Source organism: Homo sapiens, chromosome 21 (genome assembly GCF_000001405.40).
Source record: "Homo sapiens chromosome 21, GRCh38.p14 Primary Assembly".
NCBI classification, from domain to species: Eukaryota; Metazoa; Chordata; class Mammalia; order Primates; family Hominidae; genus Homo; species Homo sapiens.
This window is the reverse complement of record NC_000021.9, coordinates 16532424-16558191: the sequence shown is the minus strand read 5'-3', so window position 1 is coordinate 16558191 and position 25768 is coordinate 16532424. Positions and strand designations below refer to the sequence as shown.

The 25768-nt window shown below is 35.5% G+C and overlaps 1 long non-coding RNA gene and 2 other non-coding genes across 16 annotated transcripts in view; all 3 read right to left on the bottom strand.

The window, feature by feature from the left end:
* The window catches only part of MIR99AHG (mir-99a-let-7c cluster host gene), a 561240-nt gene that overhangs the window by 73536 nt on the left and 461936 nt on the right, over positions 1 to 25768 (bottom strand). For 8 of the 14 annotated variants that reach the window (NR_027790.3, NR_111005.2, NR_136552.1 and 5 more), the window contains one exon: positions 20753 to 20813. The exons of 5 other annotated variants lie outside the window; for them this stretch is intronic. This is a non-coding gene — a long non-coding RNA (mir-99a-let-7c cluster host gene). Of the gene's footprint in view, positions 1 to 20752; positions 20814 to 22482; positions 22621 to 25768 lie in introns of those variants that run through there. One more of the 14 variants, NR_136547.1, reaches the window with a different exon arrangement.
* On the bottom strand, positions 18281 to 18364 carry MIRLET7C (microRNA let-7c). The gene has a single exon (NR_029480.1). It is a non-coding gene; the product is annotated as a microRNA let-7c (primary transcript).
* MIR99A (microRNA 99a) lies at positions 19023 to 19103 on the bottom strand. Its single transcript, NR_029514.1, has one exon. It is a non-coding gene; the product is annotated as a microRNA 99a (primary transcript).

Genomic DNA, 25768 nt, shown 5'->3' with positions numbered 1-25768 from the left:
AGTATGATGGCAGAGAGGGTATCTGAATTCAGACAAAGCCTTAGTTCCCTCATTTATAGAACACAAGTCCTATAAACTTTTCTGCTTCTCTCCGGGTTACTAAAGAGTAGAAATAAGCAACAAGAATGAAAGTAGTCTGCAGACAGCCAAGGTTAACACAAAATTGGTACTACTGTGAAATTAAGGTTGAAGCAATTAATTGTTAGACACAAGAAAGGAGCACCAAATTTGATGCCAAGGATAGAAGATCCACATGTCTAGATCATCTTAGCCAGGAAAAAGTAAGTAAGTAAGTAAGTAAATAAATAAGTTATTGCTTCAGCTTTACTTTTTCCTTGGTCTGTCTCTGGGGGTATGCATCATTAGACCTCCAAAAGCAGGTGATCACATTATACAACCAGGAGAGTTCCTGGATCTCATAACGATCAGTTTTATGTGGGCCACTCCAGGATATACAAAAACTTTCAGGAGAGATTTTTAATAAGTGAATCTGCAAAACAAGATGAGGTTTGAGTGAAAAGAAACATAGTATAACACAAAAAGCACCAGCCTACAATTAAGAAGTCTGGCCAGAAGTAGTTCCACAACATTCTCTTATTCCAGAAATATTCATCACTGAGAGTTCACCCTATATCAATCATTGTTGATACTAAGCCATTCACACAGACGTGGTTTTCTACTTTTTGGAAATTCACAGGCTACTACGAAGGCAGACATTATACAACAATCTCACAAAAATATGTTAGTTATCAACGAGTTTGAACTTCAGTTTTGTTAATTATTAGATGAGGATATTGGAGTAAATGACTGACAAATTCCCTTTACTCTGATTGCGTATGACTTTTTTTAAAGTGTTAATCTGGAGAAAAGTCAGACTAGGAAAAGATACAATGTCAACTAAGAAATAAGAGAGTGGCATGCAACATAATCATTATTAATTACATTTTAATGTGAATATAAAGGTTAGCAGATCTCAAAGATTATGCAATTTTGCCACAAATAAAAGTAATTCAAACCTTTTTAGACAGAATAACCAAAATAAGCAAAAACTTTCATGTCCATCTTTATTGTATCACAATAGCTTACACTTATTGCCTTCCCTGTACCAAACACTTCATAACATAATTTAAATTATGTTATATCATTTAATCCTATAGGAGCTCTATACTGTGTTATTATCTTTTTTTTTTTTTTTTTTTTTTTTTTTTTTTTTGAGACGGAGTCTCGCTCTGTCGCCCAGGCTGGAGTGCAGTGGCGCGATCTCGGCTCACTGCAAGCTCCGCCTCCCAGGTTCACGCCATTCTCCTGCCTCAGCCTCCCGAGTAGCTGGGACTTCAGGCGCCCGCCACCGCGCCCGGCTAATTTTTTGTATTTTTAGTAAAGATGGGGTTTCACCGTGTTAGCCAGGATGATCCCGATCTCCTGACCTTGTGATCTGCCCTCCTCGGCCTCCCAAAGTGCTGGGACTACAGGCGTGAGCCACCGTGCCCGGCATATTATTTTAGTCATAGGTAAAACAAGTGAGGTTGATGGAGACAGAGATAGCCGTGTAGCTACAAAATGATACAGCTACAGCTACATTTGAGCTCTGATTGCCTCATTCCAAAGCCTACGCTTATGGACTTTCTTGCCTTCTGCTACACACCACTGCTCATGTGCTACGTTGGTGCATGGAGCCCCAGTGTGAGTGAAATATAAAGTAGTGGTGTACACGTAGGGGCTGGGAAATGGTGGACACAGGAGATGAAGAGACAGCCTGATACGAGTTTATGTTGGTGCATTGGAAGCAGATTGTAAAGTTCCTTACTCTCCTGCTGAGGAATGTAAACTTTATTAGTAGGCAAGATTACAAAATCTTTACAAAATACATACTACTCTTTGAATAGAAGAGTAAAGAGAGAGAGGACAGAGCTTAAGCAGGCTAAAGAAAGCCAGAGGCTCAAACGAGGATCAAAGGTAAGTACTGTGCTGCAACTGTGTAAAAAATGTAACTTAGTATGTGGGACAATTTTTAAAAATCCAACTACTTAAAAATGTCCTAGAGTTTACTTTAAAATACCCACAGAACGGTGAAACCCCGTCTCTACCAATACAAAAAATTAGCCAGGCGTGGTGGCGGGCGCATGTAGTCCCAGCTACTCAGGAGGCTGAGGCAGGAGAATGGCGTGAACCCGGGAGGCGGGGCCTGCAGTGAGCTGAGATAGCGCCACTGCACTCCAGCCTGGGCGGCAGAGCGAGACTCCATCTAGAAAAACAAACAAACAAAAATCCACAGAAACAATAAAATACCTATGTCACTCTCAAATGTGTCATTAAACAATTGCAAAATATTTTGTATTATTTGTAGTAAAGCAAGGGATACCACCATTTACTCATGCATTTATTCATTTGAAAATTGTTGACTTGCAAAAAAAAAAAATTCTTGACTTGCTATATGCTAATTATTAAGTCAAATTTTAAACTGAAAAGATTATAGAAACATATAATCACAGAACAACCTTGTGTGACAAAGAAACATGTCCAAAAGCAAAAGAGTTAAATAAATTTGTCAGTGACTGGAAAACGAATGGAATTCTTAGCCTCAACCAGAATTAGGTCTCACAAATTGTCTCTCACACGTCTTCTTCACTTTAGTGAAAATTGCAGGGAAGAAACAAACATTTTCTGATAACTATAAGCACTTCAGCTAGGTATTTTAAGTTCTATTTTAACTCTGGGACCATACGATCCTGTATTACAGAGGAAGAACTTAAATCTCAAAACTTTGATTTGATGGCAGGGCTTGGGTTCCTGCCTTGACGTGTGACTATGCAAGTTTGAAAATAACCTCTTTGGGTTTTTTTGTTTGTTTGTTTTTTGTTTTTGAGAAGGAGTTTCACTCTTGTTGACCAGGCTGGAGTGCAGTGGCGCGATCTCGGTTCACTGCAACCTCTGCCTCCCGGGTTCAAGCGATTCTCCTGTCTCAGCCTCCTGAGTAGCTGGGATTATAGGTGTCTGCCACTAAGCCCGGCTAATTTTTGGTATTTTTAGTAGAGATGAGGTTTCACCATGTTGGCCACGGTGGTCTCGAACCCCTGACCTCAGGTGATCCACCTGCCTTGGCCTGCCAAAGTGCTGGGATTATAGGTGTGAGCCACCGCGACCGGCCGAAAATAACCTCTTAATCTTTAAGTGCTCATGTCCATCCATATAAAACAAAAAGAAATGGTGCCAAATTTACATAACAATTCCCTCATTAAATTAAAAAAAAATCATTATGTGTGAATACGTGGCCAAGCACATGTGTGTGCGGTGTGACTTTGGGTGACACTATGAAAGTTTCCAGGTTTGTTATTCTCTGCTCAGGGTTCAGGCTGCAAAAGTAGGACAGAATTGCCGCAGCCGGGCGGACGGAGGGCGGTGGCTGATGAATGTAGGGAGAAGACCTGGCTGGAGAGCTTGGCTCTGGTGAGGGTCTGAGCAAAACAGGAAATGGGGAGAGCCACTGAGCTGAGGATGGTGAGGATGGTCAGGAAGGAAGAGATCAGGATACGGGAAAGGGTTAGATTATGACGTGCAGGAACACAGCCAGTGAGCTGTTATCACAGATCTCTAGGCGCCATGTAAAACATTGACTTGACTCTGGGGCAAACACACAGCACAAGTAATGTGTGTAAGATTTATCTTCTTACAGCAACAGATGTTTAAAAAGCTAACAAACATTTTAAAGGAACCGATAGCAACAGATCATGTGAAAAACAAATGATGCTTTCTATTAATTGAAGAGTGAAATTCCTTTAATGGGAATGTTCATTTCTTAGAAAACTTTCCCTCCAGAACTTGCACCGAAAAATACTCTGTAGTAACTAATGCAAAGACCACATAGAATATCACAGAAACCCACCAGAAATATGGCTTAGACACTGTAACAAATTTTTAATCCTCTGAAGTTTATGCTAATGTTATAAACTGGCTTTTGTTTATTAAATGCCATTTGCTAAACCATTTTGTTTAATCATATAAAATAAACATAGCCTAATACAAATTTTATATGATTCTGGCATTTAGAAAAAGGGCATTTTCTTTGATTTTCTATTAATTTAATATAAATTATTTTAATTTTGTATTTTTCCCCTGATATTTCATACATGAATTTTATTCGTTAGTTTCTATTCCTTTACTTACTGTGAGTGGAAATATATGGAGAAACAGGAGTAAGACACTTCATTATGGAAAATACTATCTAAATAAAGTTGCCAAATAAAAATAGAAGATGTATAGTCAAAATTGAATTTCCAATAAGCAGTAAAAACAATATGACATATTGGACATACTAATATTCTAAAATTATTTATTGTCTAGCTAAAATTCAGACTTAACTGCATGTCTCATATTTTTATTTTGCTAAACTGGCAGTCCTATATCTAAAATCCATGTTTTGAAATGAAACTCTAAGCAAGGAAATAAGGTCTATCTTCCCTGCTCCCAAAATTATCCATCAAATGTGAAAAGACCTGCTCTGAACATCATAGCACTTTCATAGCCATTAGTAAAATAATCAACAGTTGAAATGGACAAACTCATTATCCCAGTTCCCCAAATCTCTGACAACACCATAAACAGAATAGATGTTAAGCTTAGATAAAAGTGGATGAAGATGCTATTTTCGGCCAGGCGTGTTGACTCACACCTGTAATCCCAGCACTTTGGAAGGCCAAGGCGGGCAGATCACCTGAGGTCAGCAGTTTGAGACAAGCCTGGTCAACATGGCAAAACCCCATCTCTCCTAAAAATAACAAATTAACCGGGTGTGGTGGCACACACCTGTAATCCCAGCTACTCGGGAGGCTGAGGCAGGAGAATCGCTTGAACCCAGGAGACGGAGGTTGCAGTGAGCCGAGATCATACCACTGCACTCCAGCCTGGGTGACAGAGTGAGACTCCATCTCAAAAAAGAAAAAAAAAAAAGGGGGTGTAAAAAAAAGATGCTATTTCTTGGAGAGTATTGATGCCCTCATATGTCTTTTCTGCAGATTTGTAGGCCAGGAACAGAGGAGTAATAAAAGTGCATTATACCACTGAACTTCAGACATCTGTGATGCTTCCTCCCTGGAAGTTATCCTGCTTTGGGAAACCATCCAATACCCTGCTATAGTACTCTATCCAGCCTAGGGAAAGAAGGAAGAACCATGCTCAAAACCTCACAAACTCATAACCCGGTTCAAACATCTCCTGGCCACTATCTAAAGTGAAAACTGGTTACAATGAAATTACTGCACATGCTTTCACTGGATCAGCACGGCACACTGAACTTAGTTTCTACAAAGTGAAAATTAAAATTAAACATAAAATATAGACTCATTTTCCTGTGAGAAATGTTTAATGTAATCAATCTTATCAAACAGGTATGGAGTGCATACCTAGCTTATATGGAAATAATTGGCTTTATTTAAAAAAAAAAAATAGGAAGAAATTACAGGACTGATCTAGCTTCCTATGGCATCCTCTGACCAAGACAATGACCAAGACTGACAAACTATTAATATATTAATTACAACGTAGCCAGTACCCTCCAGTTTCATGTGAACTAAAATCTACATTTCTCTAGCTGTTCTCATTAATTGATTTAATTAAAAAATTAATTGATATATCAAACATAATGTTATTTTGGCACTTGGCTAGATATGAAAAAAAATTACATGCAGACATGAAAATAGTAGAGGAGAGAAAATATTAACAGGATCTAGGCACACAGAACAGAGGCGGGTAGACAGAGAGGGAAAGAAAGACAGAGGTATCAAAAGATTGAGAGAGACAGCTTTTTCTTAGGGAATGAACAATTAAAGAATACTTTGCCACTTCTTTTCTGGAAGTCTACTTATCAAACTTCCTGTACATAGTCTAAATGGCTTAATTTTCTATTTATGAGAATACTGATGCTCTTTTCTCTACATTACGTGTTTTTATTTTCTCAACTGTCTGGAAAAGTGCAACAGGAAGGGATTATGACCCCTATTCTACAGATAGAAAAACGGAGACACTTAAGCAATTTATCATTTCACTTTATTTGCATATACACGGTAGTGACAAGATTGTTCATGTTTGCAAAATAAGCATGATACAAAAAAGAAAAGAATTAACTTCAGATGAATGAAGCGGGAATGCAATTTCAGAAAGAAAAGGTGAGACTTATTATTTGCCATGACCTGACAATGAGAAGAATAGCTGAAATGTGGCCTATTCAAACCAGCAAATCCAGGCAGCAGTGCCATGATGTTTTGAAGATAAGAGGACCGTCAGAAAAAACAAAAACAAAAACAAAAAAAACCACCTCCCAACATTTCTTGCGACGGCTCTGCCTATATAAATTCTGCAGCACTGAGCATGCGGAACCTTTATAAGCAAACAATACACTGCCTCAGTTAATATGCCTAATGATAGTAATTACCTTTTATTCAACTCCTATTACCTACTAGGCATCATGGTTGCTAAAGGTCATGTGCATATAATCTTTTAATTCTCTCGAAAATCTTGCAACATTGGTGTTATAATTTTCACATTACAGATAAAGACCACAAAGCACTGATGAAAAGGTCAGCTTTTATAGTTGGTGTTGACTCACACTCACTATAAACTCAGGGATCCTGACTCCAGGGTGGAGTTCAACCACTATATTACTGGAGAACAAGGGATAGTCATTGTGCTCTAAGTTAAATGTGCAATGTAAGACCAAGCTATTTTGAAGGAGGGGTAGCCTTTCCTTCGCCTCTGAAATAATATCACAGAATGGATTCTTACCGAAATGGGTGCCCATGCAGAGGTAAAATCTGAATAGTATTGAAGACTTTTCCAACCACACCCACCTCCCGCCTCACATTCCCCTCCCATTCATGCCCAGCTGAGGGTCATTGTTCTAAAAGGTCTTAAAACCCAGAGCAGGAAGGAAAACAGTAAGTGAGGGTCAAGTGATTCTTAATCATTCTTAATTCTTAAGATTCTTAATTCTTAAGCGGGGGAAGGAAAAACGGAGTCTTCTCTGGGCCCCTATATTATGTAAGAAACTGTGTTATCTAGATGCTTCCCAAATATTAGTCAGTTAATCTCAAGTAGTCTGTGACGTAAAGTTTATTGTTCTCCCATGTTTTGAAATACTTAGAATTTTTAAATGGAAATAATCTGAAGTTAAAAGACTGAGTGATAATGCACAATTTTTTTTTAATCCTCAAATAAACATATTACCACATTAACCTGATAAATCCCCAGTTAGAAGCAAATATATTTGCTGTTTTTAGATAGGTTAGGTTTAGTAACCATATGCTAGTCTATATTTTAAAAACTCAGAAAGAGAAGACAGCTCCTTGAACTTTTATTGTGTGGATCTCCAAATTGTAATACTGGTCTAGAAAAGGTCTCTGAAAGCACAGGAAGCTGGTCAGTTGGACTGGGGAGGCTGCACATTCATTCTAAATAAAACAGAGAAAAACCTTACTTGCAAATTTTTACTGTGGATACCTAATGCTTTCAAGTTTCTAATTCTCTGTCACAGGAGACATTATAACAAGATGATTAAAATCAAATCCTTTGGAGTAAGATATATCTGCTTCAGTCTGGGATTTACCTTTTATGTGGCTGTAAGGAATTTATATGTGTAACTCCCTGACCCTGGTTTTCTCACTTTTATAAGAAGACTAATACTATTGCAGTGGAAGCCATCCTACTTGATGTCTTTGGAATTGGTAGTTGATAGATTAAAAATGTCACAGTTGACTCTTGAACAACACAGGTTGGAATTGTACAGGTTCCCTTATATGTGAATTTTATTCAATAAAACTTACAACGAGTGTGCCTGCCTCTCCTGCCTCTGCCCTCGCCTCTCCCACCCCTGAGGCGACAAGGCCAATTCCTCCTCTCCCTCCTCCTCTTTGGCTTACTCAACTTGAAGACAATTAAGATAAAGGCTTTTATGATTATCCACTTTAACTTAATGAGCAGTGGAATATTTTCTCATACAATTTTCTTAATAACATTTTCTCTTCTCAAGAATACTTTTTTTTTTTTTGAGACAGAGTTTCGCTCTTGTTGCCCAGGCTGGAGTGCAATGGAGCGATCTTGGCTCACCACAACTTCCACCTCCCGGGTTCAAGCAATACTCCTGCCTCAGCCTCCCAAGTAGTTGGGATTACAGGCATGAGCTACCACGCCCAGCTAATTTTGTATTTTTAGTAGAGATGGGGTATCTCCATGTTTGTCAGGCTGGTCTCGAACTCCCAAACTCCCGCCTTCAGGTGATCCTCCCACCTTGGCCTCCCAAAGTGCTAGGATTACAGGCATGAGCCACTGTGTCCAGCCTCAAGTATACTTTAGAGTAAGAATATAGTATATAATGCATATAACATACAAAATATATGTTAATTAACTGTTTATGTTATCAGTAAGACTGTTTATGTTATCAGTAAGTAGGCTATTAGTACTTAAGCTTTTGAGGAGTCAAAAGTTATACCCAAATTTTCAACTACATCCGGGGGTGAGGACCCCTAACCCCTGTGATGTTCAAGGACCAACTGTGATTAAAAAGGGAAACATACAAATACATTAAAACAAATATTTTATTTTAAAAACATATAAAAGTACAGTTTTCTAATTTTCCCGATGTTTTCACATGAGGCAAGTTCTCTCATTTAGCATGAAACTGATGACTATCTTTTTATGTTTCATAAACCTCACTCGTAAAGCACCACTTTAATAAGCCCAGTTATTCATTAATAAAAAGTAAATGTACTTATATTGTAAAACTGAGAGATGGCTCAATCTATTTTATTTTATTTTTTTTAGAGATGGGATCTCCCTCCATCACCCAGGTTGGAGATGACAGCTCACAACACCCTCAAACTCCTGGACGCAAACAATCCTGTTACCTCTGTCTCCTGAATAGCTGAGACTACAGGCGCATGCCACCATGTGTGGCTTCAGTCTACATTTTTATGATATGTCCAGTAATTTAGAGTTAAATGTTCAAACTTAATATAATACCAATTTTACCTATCCAATTTAATTTAGTCCTTCCAAAGAATTAAGCTACCTTTTTTCTTATGTCAACTTTGTTCCACAGGTTTATCTAAGTAATTAAATTATAAATGTATTATTAATTACATATAAATTATATATTGTGCAATACATAAAATTTTTACATATTTAATAACATGTATACATTTTATAATTTAACATATATGTGGATTGATAGATTTACAATATTTGTAAATGAAGGCTTTCGATTCTATCACAGTTTACACTGAATTAAATTCAGGCACCTCAAAAAGTATTAAACAGTAACCTCATGGAGTTATTATTAACTTTTTGAGGAAATTATGCACTCTCTTGAAAATCTGACAGAGCCTGGGTTTTCCTTAGAAATACCAGCACGTTGGGCAGGGTGTGGTGGCTCACGCCTGTAATCCCAGCACTTTGGGAGGCTGAGGCAGGTGGATCACAAGGTCAGGAGTTCAAGACCAGCCTAACCAACATGGTGAAACCCCATCTCCACTAAAAATACAGAAATTAGCCGGGTGTGGTGGTACACACCTGTAATCCCAGCTACTCAGGAGGCTGAGGCAGGAGAATCACCTGAACCCGGGAGGCAGAGGTTACAGTGAGCGGAGATTGTGTCATTGCACTCCAGCCTGGGCAACAGAGTGAGACTCCAACTCAAAAACAAACAAACAAACAAAACAAACACAAGCACATTCGCATACATTTAAACTATTAATATAAATATTTCAAAGGTTCTAAAGACTCAACAAATTCATCCTATGGTTCCTATGGATCTATTATGCTGAATTAAGAACTTTTTTTTTGCCAATATGAGAAGGAATGTCATTACTTTCTGATTAGTTTTCGGTTGAATTGAATGCTACATAAAGAGCTGTAAATCTCTGTAGTGTTTAACGTTTTACTCATTGGCTTCCTTATTTCGAATAAAGTTTAAAAAATTCCTCAAAACTAAATTTAGACTCAAATATAAAAAAAGACAAATGTAAAAGATGATAAAATGAAACAAAAAAAGCAAAACAAACACATTCCAAATCAATCTGCATTTCCTAAGTGTATCTTAATTCAACTACAGTAGTATTCTTAACCATTAGCCACTTTGCAGATTATCTGATATTCTTAACAGATATCCTGGCTGCTAAATGCTAAATGCAAGTGAGCTACTCTCTAGAACTGCACAGCCTACTGCCTTAACTGCAAACCACATGTAGCTATTTAAATTTGAGTCAACTAAAATTAACTAAAATTTAAAATTCATTTTTCAGTCACACTAGACGTACTTCAAGTGCTCAATAGCTTCATGTGGCCAGTGGCTATTGTTTTGGACAGTGCAGAGAGAACAGTTCCGTCGCCATCAAGATTTCTGGAACACCCAGTTGAACATGTCTGCTCCCACCAAGTGGTTTACATGCCTCCCTGGAGTCCATTACGTTTGCTCCCAAACCAGTTTATGCCAGTTTTGCATATACCGAATTGCACAATTTAATTAAATATCACATAAACAAATTGAAATATAATTGTAAAGAAAATGAGAATTGTTGTTCTATACCTCTAAGTTGAATATTTAGGGAAGATTTAATAAAATTCAGTCACTTAAAAAAACCCACAATGCTATAGAATAACATGTGGGAAAGACAATTTCAGAAGCTTAGAAAAAAATTGGAGAAAGTAGAATTCTGCTCTTAGATTTCTTTGCATTGGATTTGAACTTACTTAAAGACATTCATGACGCGATGAAAAATTAGAAATCATATATGATGCATTATAGGATTTATTGAAAGGAAGGATGACTATAATCTGTAACCAACAACGTAAACCAAAAAAAAAAGTTCTTGGTTTACATAAAATTATTGGCAAATAAATATATAATCAAGTGTTTAAAATTTAAATAAAATGTAGGTTGTGTGTATGTATTTGTTTTTAAGATCAATTTATTTTAATATCTGAGTGCATTAACTCATTGACTATTGATCCCAATTATATTAAATAAGAGGGCTTCTACAACAGACAACAAAATTGACAATACATGTTTTTTTACTACTAGAAACTCTGTGTTTTCATAAGTGGTTTTGTCATTTCTCTTTTACACATTTAGATTCACTGGATTAAATTATATCGAAAATTTATGGACAGGAACCTGATCTAATTCCAGATTTATGTATAATTGGTCTTTTAATTATAACACAATAAAATATAATTAACAATACCAATGTTTCTTTACTTTTGAACTCTACTCAGTTGCCCGACTTTATATGGAGATGAGAATACTTGAACTTAGTCTTCATTCTATTTAACATTTTGTTTTTTCTAACTTGAAAATGCTATATATTTATCCATCTATAGCATCAATTACCTGAGCATAAGAATTATAAGAATTTCATTTTTTGTACATTGCGGTTTATATGCAAATACAAACTGAAAATTATATATTCCTACCAAGAATATTACAATTACTACTACTACTACACTTCTTTTATTAAAATGACATCAAAATAATATTGTGGTTGCTAATTATTGCTTGATGAATGAATATTTTTCATTAGTCAGTTAAATTCAAGAAACCATGTCGACTGTCATGCAACATACATATCTATTTGAAATAACAATGTCAGCATAGAAGTTGTCTTTTATATGAACTTTATAATGACTTGAGAGTAGTAAAACGATCCCAAATTATCTAGTTTAACTTTATGAAAAGATGCTGTTAGCTTCATCAAAATAATAAGTTTTTTGAAATTTTGCTTTACTATCTGATACCTTCATATCAGAAATGGAAAACTGGCTGCCCTTGGGATCCAAATTCATACTAACAAGAGTTATTTTAAAATATCTTTTTTTTTTTTTTTTTTTTTTTGAGACAGTCTCGCTCTGTGGCCCAGCCTGGAGTGCAGTGGCGTGATCTCAACTCACTGCAACCTCTGCCTCCCAGTTCAAGCGACTCTCCTGCCTCAGCCTCCTGAGTAGTTGGGATTACGAGTGCCCACCATCGCGCCCAGTTAATTTTTGTGTTTTCAGTAGCGAGGGGGTTTTACCATGTGGGCCAGGCTGATCTTGAACTCTTCACCTCAGGTGATCCGCCCACCTCGGCCCCCCAAAATGCTGGAATTACAGGCGTGAGCCACGGCGTTGGCCTATTTTGAAATATCTTAAAGGTAAATATGCCTTCTTTGGTCTACCACAGTCCCCATTACTTCCCCTTGTCTTAAAAGTCTGGCTTATACTACCTGGACCCAGAAGTTACTTAAGTTTATGATCCCTGTGAAAGCACCTTACATAATATCTTGCCTATCTCATGGAGGGCATGAACAATTGAAACTTGAAGTTGGATTTAGTTACGGTTACCATTTAATATTAACTTTCATTTTTCTGAGCAACACAGTGCTAACAGATTGAACAATATATAGTTTGTTTTTTTCCTTTTTGCTTAAGATACACCACCAACTGCTAGGCCATACTCTCCTCTCTTGGAGAAGTGTTCTAGAAGGAGGAGAAATATCAGAATGTAACTGAGGTAGATAACTTCCTCTCTTTGCCTAGAAGAATGAGGGTGCAATGGTACTTGGAAAGAAATAATTGAAGGGATGAGTTTATTTTAAATCATTTTAATTATATGTCTATCATATTTGAGCTTGAAGCTAAATTACTATGTGATTTATAGCCTTTCGGAAACAAAAGTCTATTCTCTAATTTCAATCAACTTTATTAAAATTTGTTTAATGACACATTAAAATGGAGTACTAACTAAAAATCTAATGACAGCAATTCTAAAATATTTCTTCTTGGATAGGTCACTGAAATGGTTTGAAATCTGAGTTATGTCCGTAACTAGTAGATTGACCTTGGCAGAATCATTAAAGAAACTGGGCCTCAGTTTGGTCATCTGGAAAATGGGCCATTTGATCTCTAAGGTTCTTATCATTAATAAGTGTCAATTTTATTTTTAATTTCAATAAAGCACAATTTATTAAGTGCCTATTGTGTACAAATTTACACAAATTATACAGCATATGATCTAATCTTCTTATATACTATATAAACATATAAAAAGTAATTAGAAACACAGACTGACTATGATTGTTGTCAAATAAGTACTCTAAGAGTTCAGATGAAGAGAAACAAAATTGGGATTTAAGAGATATTGGATGTAGGAGAGAAATATGATTTAATTCACGCCTTCACATAGCATAGAATAAGGTTAAAAATTAAGGGACACACAAGACAATGCCAATTTTAAGAGATCAAGAATTATCCCAGCCATCCCATTACTGGGTATATACCCAAAGGACTATAAATCATGCTGCTATAAAGACACATGCACACGTATGTTTATTGAGGCACTATTCACAATAGCAAAGACTTGGAACCAACCCAAATGTCCAACAATGATAGACTGGATTAAGAAAATGTGGCACATATACACCATGGAATACTATGCAGCCATAAAAAATGATGAGTTCATATCCTTTGTAGGGACATGGATGAAATTGGAAACCATCATTCTCAGTAAACTATCGCAAGAACAAAAAACCAAACACCGCATATTCTCACTCATAGGTGGGAATTGAACAATGAGATCACATGGACACAGGAAGGGGAATATCACACTCTGGGGACTGTGGTGGGGTCGGGGGAGGGGGGAGGGATAGCATTGGGAGATATACCTAATGCTAGATGACACATTAGTGGGTGCAGCGCACCAGCATGGCACATGTATACATATGTAACTAACCTGCACAATGTGCACATGTACCCTAAAACTTAGAGTATAATAAAAAAAAAAAAAAAAACAACAAAAAAAGAAAATTCTAGAGTCACAAACATATACACTTTAACATCTTTCAAGTAAAGACTCCTTCACTTTTGAAGACTGTACTTAAATCATGTAATACATGGAAAAATGCATTAAATCTATATTAATTATGGCTTATAAAAAAAAAAAAAAGAATTATCATCAAACAGAATTCCCCCCAAAAGTGATATTTCTAATTTATTTTAAATTCTAAACTTTAAAAGTTTGAAGAAGTCTACTTAAATATAGAATTGCTCCAATATATAACACTTTTTTATTTTGTTTAAAAAATTTTTGCTCATTCACCAAAATGGAGTGGTGAATGGATCCTATAAGCTAAACATTATGGTAGGAGCTGTCAGTTTGAAACAGACATGGATTTCTTACATAAAGGGGCTTAGATTTACTACAAATTATAGTGATTGGCTGGTTGCCTAAATCATTTCCACTGGTATATCACATGCTTAATCAAGAGTGGGCTGCAGACCTAGGCACCGTTAGAATACTCCTAATACCATGACAATACATTCTGGAGAGTCTAGAGATGTCTTGGGTAACCCATGACTTTACTGCTGAAACCAAGTTTATCGTAAGGTGTGTAGCAGTTCTCATCATTGCCCATAAATGATCTAAAGTTCAACTCAAGACGACAGGCATTGATTCAATATATCCATAGTTAAAAAAGTAAAGCATGTACATTACAAGAGGTACAAAGGCAAGTCACAGTCCCTTTGGACACTTGTAAATACTACTAATAGAAGTCAGAGAAATCCCTGTGGGAATGAAAGTGGCAAGGGCCTTGAGGATTCAAAACTGAGAAATTCTATCTTAGAGAATCAGTAAAGGATTTGTAGGTGAACATGATATTATCATGTTAAATGACATAATAATAACAGGTATTAGTTTTGCTTGGGCAGTAGGCATTAAAGTAAGAATAAAGTATTCTTCTGGTATATCTTTCACAAGCATTCCCAAAGGGTTTTAGAGGTCAAGTATAGGTAGAGTTAAGATAAGTTACCTCAGGAGTTATTCCTCTATCCTGTAGCAGAGAAACTAGCCATGGGTGTGAAATAATGCTCAGGAAGACGGAATCCTGTATCAGATCATTTGGGTAATCTTGAGGAATCACCTGTGCTCATTAGTCAGCATTTGATAATAGGGAATAAGAGAATCTAAATTATTATTTACAGAAATCATTCATTTATTCTAATAACATAGTTCATGGACTATTGGATGTTTTTCAAAAAGACCCAGTCCAATTGCCAAGTAATTTATCTGATTCTCTCATAGTTACTTTCTCTCATTAGTTCTTATAATCTAATAATGGACTTTTCTGGTGAGGCTCAATCGATTGCTTTGCACTTGATTTTACTTTTCTTCCCTCCTTCCCTTCTTCTCTCCCTCCCTCCCTTCCCACTCTAAAACTCCTTCCTGCCTCATCCCACAAAGCATTTGAGGTAAATCAACCAGTATGAACATAAAGACATATCCAACTTTGTGCCCCAAAATATCAAAAGAAATATTGGTTAAACGAAGTATGATTCACTGATATTTAATAATTTCCTGAATTGTCATACTCTGTTACCAGATGTGAAAACCCCAGTCTACAGTTAAACTTGACCACTTAAAATTCTTAAGGAAATTATTCAGTCTGGTTAGTTGTTTCCCCATAGCTGAACATAAGCCCTCTATATGAACAATCTTTCGCTTTGATTTCTTAGACATAATTTAACTATTTTTAATTACTGACATCAGCAGTGGTCCTATATCTTGGTTTCTCAAAAAATCCTATCAATTTCTATATCTGACATTTGCCATTTATTTATAAACCTGTAGCAAGTTACATAGCCCTCATACCTGGAGTAGCAAAATTTATTATGAATCAAAGGCAAACATACAATTCTTCCACGTAGTGTTCTTGTCCTACAGAGAAGTTTTAAAAATTTTCTTCATTGGTACTAACTATATCCTCCACCTTGCAGGTTTTTTTCTGTCTTATTGTTTTGTTTGTTTTGTGTTGTTGAGAACGGAGTCTCATTCTGTCGCCCAGGCTGCAGTGCAATGGCATGATCTAGGCTCACTGCAACCTCCGCTTCCCGAGTTCAAGTTATTCTCCTGCCCCAGCCTCCCAAGTAGCTGCGATTACAGGTGTGTGCCACCATGCCCAGTTAATTTTGTATTTTTAGTAGAGATGGGGTTTCACCATTTTGGTCAGGCTGATCTCGAACTCCTGACCTCAAGTGATCCACCTGCCTCAGACTCCCAAAGTGCTGGGATTACAGGCATGAGCCACCACACCTGGTCAGATTTTTTCTTATGATTTCTACATAACTAACATAATGAATCATAGAGACATCTTCACCATTCTTCAATTATTCTTCTATTATACTCATTCACTTTAGGTGATAGTATATAAAAGAGGCTGTAATTCTAACAATTCATTATAGTACTTTTGTAAGATTATCCTTAAACTGCACATCTTACTTGACCTCTGTGAGGCACTTAACTCCATTACACTGTAAGGAAATAGACATTTATTGGCAATCATATTCTATTTGGCCCATCAATAGATTTGGCTTCTAAATAAATACACCTAGTATTGGGAGATACATACATAGAAACACATAGGAAAGGGATCCTAGGCTCTCAAGGAAAAAACTATTTATAAAGATACAATTGTTTACCCATTTAGTTGTCCCTTTCTTTCATCCGTGGGTTGAACTGCCATCATTAGACACAATGGTGTTCCTATTTGCTATGAGTCACTTTCCTTTTCATCTCTTCATGTCTTTTTGTTTGTTTGTTTTAGGTCTATGTCTACTGCCTCTTATTCATTGCTTCTTGATTAGTCCTTGCAAATATTTTTCTTTCACAGAGAGAAAGAGTCTTTACTACTGTAGACCAATCAAATTATTTTGCTTGAAGTGACTGGTATTCACTTTCTAAGGCTCACATGTTCTACGTGTTGGGGGTAGCCATTCCTTCTTCACTACATTGTTAGCAAGTTCTAGGTATTAAGATATTTTGGATGCCTGAGCATTCTAGAAAGGTCAGCACCACATAGCCAGTATCTTGAGGTCCTTAATATATATTTGCATCTAAACGTCTCTTTAATGAATTCCATGTTTCATATTTGGAGTCTTAAATTAAAGTTCTAACATCAACAACTACTTAATCCTGTGTCTGAAAGATGATCTATGTAAGATAGCCTCACTACACAAATTACACCACTAACAGCTGCTAAAGTTGACAGCAAACTAAGGTTCCAAAGAGTCCCATTTGCTTTGTAACACAAAGAATATTATAAAGTGCCTTTCCTTTAAACAAAAATGTGTTCACATTCTCAAATTATACTTTATATACATATTTATTATTAATTTATTGACATGTTTCTGGTTTAGTTGCTTCTGGTTTATTCAACAGATATAGCTGTACAAAAATAAAGGGCAGGAGACGAGGGAAATACACAAAAGACACAAATCTAATTTTTAAAAATCATATTGTTAAATGAGACTTAAAATAGAATATTTAGTTGAAATTGATGCTAAAAGAAAAACGATTCATCTGGAAAGAAAGGTATTTAAATTCAACAGAAATATGAATTATCTAAGTGTAGGATCATAAACTGTCATGAACTAATTAGTAAAAATGAATTTACTCTATTATTTTTATTCTAGATAAAAAGTACTTCTAAATTTTAACTTATCTGTTTAGAATGAATGAACACATTCAACACAGTCAAAAATCGACACATGTATTACTGATGCGGAGCAGTCCAGGAATTAAATTTAAACAGTTTTAGGAGCAATAAATAAAACTCAGATGTTTGACCACTGCCATAACTCATTCAAATATTCAATAGAAACTCATCACAGAGTGAGGTCTTACACTCCATTCACTAATCCAATAAATAGTTAGTGCTCATTATGAGTAAGGCATTGGAGGGGATACAGTGAAAAATAAAACATGGACTTTGCCCTCAAGGGGCTTACAGTCTAGTGCGGAAAAAATCAGCAAGCACATAAATAGCCATAACATAAGGTAGAAAGTGATGTGTCATAAGGAAAACGCAAATAATGTGCTATGGGAGCTATTAACTCTAGCAGACATTTTTTATTATAGTGTCTAAGCAGCCAATATAAATAGACCAATGATCCATTTGAAAATTAAGGTCTGAATTTTGTTAATCTATAGATGATAAAAAGCTTTAATATTAATGCAATTTAAGTCACTACCTACAATTTTCTTAAAATGTTTGAACATGGAGTGACAACCCATTAGAAATACCATTTTGACATTGTTCATAAGCAGATACAAATGGAATAATCTAATAGGGCTGAAATGATCATTTTAATGTAATAAAGGCCCAAATCAATGATCCAAGATACTCATGACACATTACCTTCTTGCACACAAATTGGCTCAATCAGGTTAAAGTGATGAAGAATTCCTCGACGGCTCAAGTGTGCTCCAAGGAAAGCTAGAAGGTTGTACAGTTAACTCCCAGGGTGTAACTCTAAACCATACAACCTACTACCTCAACCCGGATGCACACAGCTTCCAATGTTGCTTCAAACTCCTTATCATATCTTCAGTCAGCTCCTCCAAATATGGCAGCCATACACCTAAGGGCTTGGCAAGGATATAGATATAATATTCTAACATTTTACCAGTAAACTTTGCTGCTAACTGTTTCTCATAGGACTAACCTAAACACTTGGGTTTCCAGCATAGGTCACGTAAAATGTCTTCTGACCATCTAACCTGCCATAGTTCTAGTCGCAATTAATAGTAAAAGTCAATTGCATTCAGCCTCATTTTTTCAGGAGAAATAGGCTCAATAAAAACATATAAATCCAATGGTAGTCTTTAATTTTCTTACTGAAGTTGAAGAGGTACACTAAGCACTACAGTATGCACTGAAGTTTCTGAACAGAATCTATTCAGATCCTGGTCCAAACCCTGCTATAAAGGTTCAACTTTCTTATGCAATTTACTGTACATGGAATCGAACTTGAATGGGTGTGATATAAACGCTTCCAAGTTGTTGAGAATTGAAGCCTGCCTTGTAAGACAGACAATGATTAAAATAAACATTAAAAACAAAGGAAAATATAATGACTTCAAAAGTATATAATCAACTGGAGTTTAACAGGATTTTACTGAACTATTGTTGAACGGCACTGTGTATAGCATTTTGTCAGATTACCACACTGACACAGACCCATAGAAGCGAGCTTGTGCGGTCCACTTCACCACAAGATCGGATCTACGGGTTTATGCCAATGGGCAACATCTTGCATGGGCCCCCTATTAATATAGAATTTGTTGTAAATATCTGATGCAATTAAGAGTCAAAAATAATATTGATCCTTTAGTATAAATGTTTTAAATGCTGAGTTCTAAGGATGCATATTCTCCATTAAAGGCCTTCATAAATATTCAAAACTAAATACAAATTTATATGCATGAGAATTTAAAAAGTAGTTTATTGAAAAATTTTTCACGAACTGCTTTTGTTTCAATAGTAAATATTTTGGAATTAAACTATTCTAATTGAGTTTTAAAAGAAAAAAGAATCCATACATGCATGTATGAATTATATAATTGTGAGGCATGAATGTAGTATTACGAGCCTATAATTAAAACCAAATTAACTATTAAGTTAATTGTGTATGAGTTAGACCGTGCTTATTTTAATTTTTATAAAACTAGTTTAGTTACTGGTTTCAAGGAATTGGTAACATTATAACTTTCTCATAAAACAGTAAGATCTTGTTCACTAGCTAGAGAATACAGGAAGTTATTATCAGCCTTAAATATATACATCTGTGTCTATAGTCGGAATGGTGCTAAAATTTACAATATTTGGATGAGTTAATATAAAACTAAACTAAATGGCACGATAATGGCATGATTACTAATACTCCACACTAACATTTATACTCCAGATGTATTACATGACATAGGATATCTTCTTTCCTAAATAAAATATATTTAAACTTATTGTTCAAAAAAGATACACTTAAAATGCATGGCTACATACAACTCTCATCTGGTCAACAGGTTGGGCAAAAATAAAATATTACTAAAAAATGTTTTAAACCACCAGACAACAAGCAAACACACAAACGAGTAAACATAAAGCCAGCCACATACACGTTTTTTTAAGATTGTAAACTCAACTGCAACAAAATGATAAGTTGTACAATCATTAATCATTTCACATCTATAATCACTTAGCATTTCCTAATTATATCTTTATTGTGTAAAATAATACTACATACTAATTGCTTAGTGATTTTGCATATTTTGAAATAAATACGTTTTATAGCCTTTATATAGATCATGTGTTCTACATAATTTTAAACCATTATTTATTCTTAAATTGTCCTCATAATTATTAAAAACTATAGTAAATAATCAACAATCATACATTCAGTTGTAGTAAAAATATTTCAACATATATTTATAAATGCAAATGTGAAATAAGAGGCAGCATTGGGTTTAGTTTTACCATAACTATAAGAAAGCATGTTTTGGTTTCATTGTCTTATCAGGTCATGTAAAAAAGATGAAAAAGCATGACCTTATTCCCCTCCTCCTGATTTCACTTCCTTTTATATGGTACAACAAATAAGAAAATATAATTTTTTTCTTTTCCTATAAAGCTTTCTAGTAAACCGTATTGCACCTATCTTAAGCGTATGGATACACAGACATATATTCAATGGGACACAAACTGCCCAATTGACCACAAGAAATTTTTCACAAAGGTAGGTCATAGCACACATTTTCAAATGAAAACCATCAATAAAATTTCAACAGTTACACTCATAAAGAATATGAAATTAATTCTTATAACAAAACACAGTCAAAAGAATGTTGTTTTTCTTTAAAAACAGTAAATCTTATTTGCTCTTTGTTTTTTATTTTTACCTGAAATGGTTTTCTCCTATGATCACTTTCTTCACTTTTCATATCCATTTTAAGTTTTTCCCTAAAACAACCACAAAAGGAGAAATATCAGACAACTGCTGTCTAGGAGGAGCATCTGAGTGGATCGTGGGAATGAGGGTAGACGATCGAGAAGAAAACACGATATCAAAATGGGCAAAACCTTTTAAAGTATTTTTTTTTTAAAGCCTTGGAAGACTCACAGGGCCCCACCCAGGCTACTCATATGACATATAAAGTGGTTTCATAGTTTGCATTTATGCGTTCATTTTGGTTCGTGTTGTTTTCACAGTAACAGTTTTGAAAGTGAAAGGACGATGGCTGTTAAAGAAGCGACTAGGTTTTGCACAATGAAGTAGCGAAAGCTGAAAAGAGATTTGGATTTGGCATGGAGCTTAATAAGATAATTAAGAGTGTAGAGATTAATGGCTGCTAAAAATAACATTTAAAATAATGTTTTTAAACGGATCTTGAAACATGGAAACAGGTTTATCAATATTAATTAAGCCAGTGAAAGTTGGTGTACCATTAGCTGAGGCAGCATGGAGGTACAAGAGCTATTTTGTAAATAATTAGTGAACAATAACCAACAGAACGTTTTATTTGAATGTTATCAGTATATAGGGATTTTGCAATTTCCTGTAATTGTTCATAGAATAGCAAACACAAAGGCAGAATTAATCAGTTCTACATTTTTCATTGTTTACCCTACATATTTGTAATATAAGAAAATATGATTTTAAAAGCATAACAGATTACCAAAGTATATTTTTACCGAAATATTATAACGTCAATTCTTAGTATGCAAATTATAGTTTTCATTGATACTTGCTGAATTTTTCAAAAGCATTCTCTTTTAAAAATTATTTTTACACTTGTTTAGAAACATTTTTTATCAAAACTAAAATAGCTGGAATGCATCTGCTAATCCTTTCACACTGAACCAGGCAAAACTGTTTTTTTAATAAAATGCTTAAATTGCTTAGCAATTTACTTCTACAAACAGACAAAATAATTATAATGCAATGCAGTTATCTGCTGAGCCAATACATTGCTCTGAACTTAAAACAAGTTTGCATGTACTTTTTCTAATACACTTGATATTTCCAATGCTTTTTGCAACTGCTCTAGGACAAGTACTTCTTTTAAAATGTATTTTAAAAGAGCATATTATTATGAAAGAAGCTTCTTTTCTACCTAGCAACTGAGAACATGCTCTTCTCATTCCTATTTTTGTTCTACTGAAATCTTTGTAAATAATTTGAATATAACTTCCCCAAAAGCAATCTTATTTATCAGTCATTCAACGCATATTCTAATATAACCCTTTTCTACAAGTTTAAAAAGTTTCTTCTTTCACATTTCAAATTATAAGTCACATGAAAGATTTACTTTTTTTACCCACTAGGTCTAAACATTCACTTTTCTTAGATAGCAAAAACTAATACTGGACACAAAAAGCACAGATATATTAATATCTTTCCAAAACTTCTGTGTATACCCCACATAAAAACATGTATTGTCTTTTTCATAGAGATTTTTCTATCTTTCCTTAAGTTTCTATTTTAATCAAGATTAGAGCAAGAGAGGAAAAGGAAAAAGTTAATAAGAGTAAAGTGGGCAATGAGTTAAATAAAAGTAAATTAAAAGTTCAAGGATTCCCTTTTATATAACAGTAGCCTTTAAAAGAAAAACAACAAAAAAAGTTATACCTGATATGAAAGGTGCGATTTCACCAAGTGCAATATATTGCTAATTATGCCATATGGTTTGAAATAATAAAAATAAAGAAGGCTCATTTGGTTATGTTGCCTTAAAAAGCTGATTTACAAAGCCCGATGTCTCTGTAGTTATACAGCCAATGTTTGCTTTTTTTGGTTTGTTTTGGTTTGGATTTTTGTTTGTTTGCTTTTGTTTTTGTTTTTGAGCAGGAGCGTCTCTTTTTTTTTTTTTTTTTTTTTTTTTTTCCAGCACTCTTGCATGTAGTAGGACACACTCAGATTTTTTCTTCAAGGGCGCCTGTAATTTCTTAGAAAAGGACCAGGGTGCTTGTCTTCTTTTTCTTCCTTCTCGGTATTCCAGGCACAAAGCACTGCGCAGAAGCTACACCAATCCTTGCCGTCACTGGCAGCAGAATGGTAGAAGGTGGGAGAGACCAGGAATCCTTCCAGGCTGTGCTGACTTTAGAAATGAGGATTACACACGTTTGTCTCCTGAACCAAAGGGGTGCAAAGGCAGGGTGCCAGTTTGCTACAGTGCTGCAATGCAATGATCTCATGCTCACTGCTGCTGTCGTCCTGTTTGCCCAGTTCAAATGCCTGTTCATTATAAACCAAAAAAAAAAAGACCCAACTACTTGGATTCTTCTACAAGCAGAAAGGTAGTAACCTAAAAAATAAATAAATAAATAAAACAAAAATACAAATCACCAGTCAGAAAAGGCAAAAAAAACAAAAAAAAAAAACAAAAAGCACATACAATTTTAGAATTCACTTGTTATGCCTCAATATTCTATTATTATTTTCCTTTTTTTTTTTTTCTATTTAGAGATAAGCAGCAGAATTTATCAGGCGTGAAAGGGACAGCCTCCTGGTGGCCTGCCAAAAACCCAGAATAAAGGCGAAGTTGTGCTTCAAAGCTCAGTCGCTTGCTGAGTCTGGCTAAAGTCAAGTATTAAGATCCACCATTTTCTGAGCCATGTTAGAAAAGAAGAAAAAAGTCAGGACGGTTGCTGCTTTCCAAGTCTCCGTTGGCACCATCACAAAATCTCAGTCGTAAGGTCACATGATTCTCTGCCAAATGTAGAGTGCACTCCCATCAACCATTCTGCTGATACTGCGAAGGCAGCTATTGTCTCGTTTAGACCCAAAGTTCAGCCCACTCTTCATTGAATTAGCTGAAAAACGCATCACCTTTGGGGGCTGGGAGTCATGGAAACGTCTACCTGGCAAGCTGCCCACTTTTTCTGCCCATCAACCAGAGATGGAATTGTGCTGCCTAACGCAATGATGACTTGGAATGTGAAGAGTCGTCCAAAGTGAATCTGATTCTTGCAACGCCTGTTTCGTTTGCACAGAAAACTCTGGCTTCTTGTAGTTAAGAGGGGAAAAAAAAAATCTTTCCTACCAAATGTAGCAAATAAAGGTCTGAACATGCCTACTCTGGCAACTTTTTTTCTCAACACACCCAAATGGTTCTCAAATGAAAAGACTGAAAGCCCTTCAAGTTTTCTGAGTTAAAGGCATCCCTTCATCTGTCTCCTTTTCCTTACAAGTGAATGAAACAAGCCCAGAACATTTGTTTTCGTCTCTCACTTTAAGATTTAAAAAAACTCCGAGTTTTCTTCTTGCTTTTTGTTACTTTCTGATTTTATCTGGCACTGATTTTGTACTACATGGTCACAATGTCTTCTAGCAACAGCAGGGATGCACTATTGCTGCAATCTCCAACAAAGTGCTCCCCTGAGAAAGCCAGTTGTCTCTTTATCCACATAAAACCCTGCAACTGGGTCTATAGTAATCCTCATCGGTACCTAGCACAGCTGCTATGCAAGTTTTCTGAGACTGACATATGTGAGAAGGGCTCTTTCTGTTTCTTCGCTGGCTACAGTTTGCCCGCGTGGCATGAAAGATGCCTTTGAAAGATGCAGGGACTGTGTCAACAGCTCTTAGGTAGTAAAATGAAATGGTTCCCCTCCCCAATGAATTTCCATTCTAGCAGGCAATGAATCCCATGCACGAACATTTCTATACTTTCTAACAAAAGTAGAGTGAATTAAATTTTTCACAATTTCCTTAAGCAGAATTTAAAGCCAAACAGGAAAGCAAGCATTATTAGTACAGAAACCAAACATACTGAGCGGCACTAAAAAGAACCATGTCCTTTAACTTTATTTTTTAAAAATGTTGCAATAATTGGAGAATCTTTATCTAAAGTATGATTGTTTGCAAAAAATTTAACATTATATTCAGTGTCTTCCCCAAATGATGGATTAATGTTGCCCCTTTTCCATGTGTAAACACATACACTGCACAATACATAACAATGACTTTCAAAGATAATCAAACTGTGACTTGTCTAATAGAAAAAAATCTGAAAAATGATTCAGGCATCTAGGAAACATAACTAAAAATGGTTTGTGGTTGTTTTTGTGCCATGTCCTTCAGGTGACTTTCTTTAGCAACGATAGGAGTGAATGTGTACACACACATACACACACGTGAGAACCATCATGTCGTCCTCCCCATTTGTAATTCAAAATAATGCAATTCTAAACCATAAACTAAAAATTTACACACGGGCTAAAATTAAAATTGCTTTTTTTCTAGATTGCAAAATTCTGGACAAATCTGCTAGTGTCCTAAGCACATATTTAAAGAGTGCTTGGCAGAAACTTAAGCCCCATGATTCAGCAAAACAAGAAAGCAGATGACACATTCATTGACATAAAAATTTAAATTTCCAGTTCTCATTCACTTATTCAGCAGATTATTTATTAAGTCCTAGTATGTGCCAGGCCTTCTGATAGGCATAGGAGAACATCAGTGAAAGAAACTGATGTGACTCCCATGTGGGAGTCTTTCAGTAAGTACTTTTAAATGAGAAAAGCTCACTACTAAACAGAGATGTTGCAGGTCCTAAAAGAGACAAACTTGTCAAGAAACAAACCGATGGAAATTGCAAAGTGGAAGTAAAATGGATATTAAAAAATAAATTAGAGATGTTTTCTCTGTCTGAAGGTTTCCTTTTTAATACTAAATTCATGGTTAGTTTTGTATAATTCTGTTGAACTTCCTGAAAGAATCTGATGTGAAAATTGTATGCTGTCTTCCCAATTAAAAACAATTTTTAAAAAGAAGCAAAGTAATGGGAGACTTTCACTTGTAGAAAGATGGAGTAGACGTAGTTTTTTCTAATTCCCCTTCTAGGTACAACTAAAATCTCTCCACATTACATATCAAAGAAATTTAAAGAGACTCTGAAAAGCTGAGAGAAGAT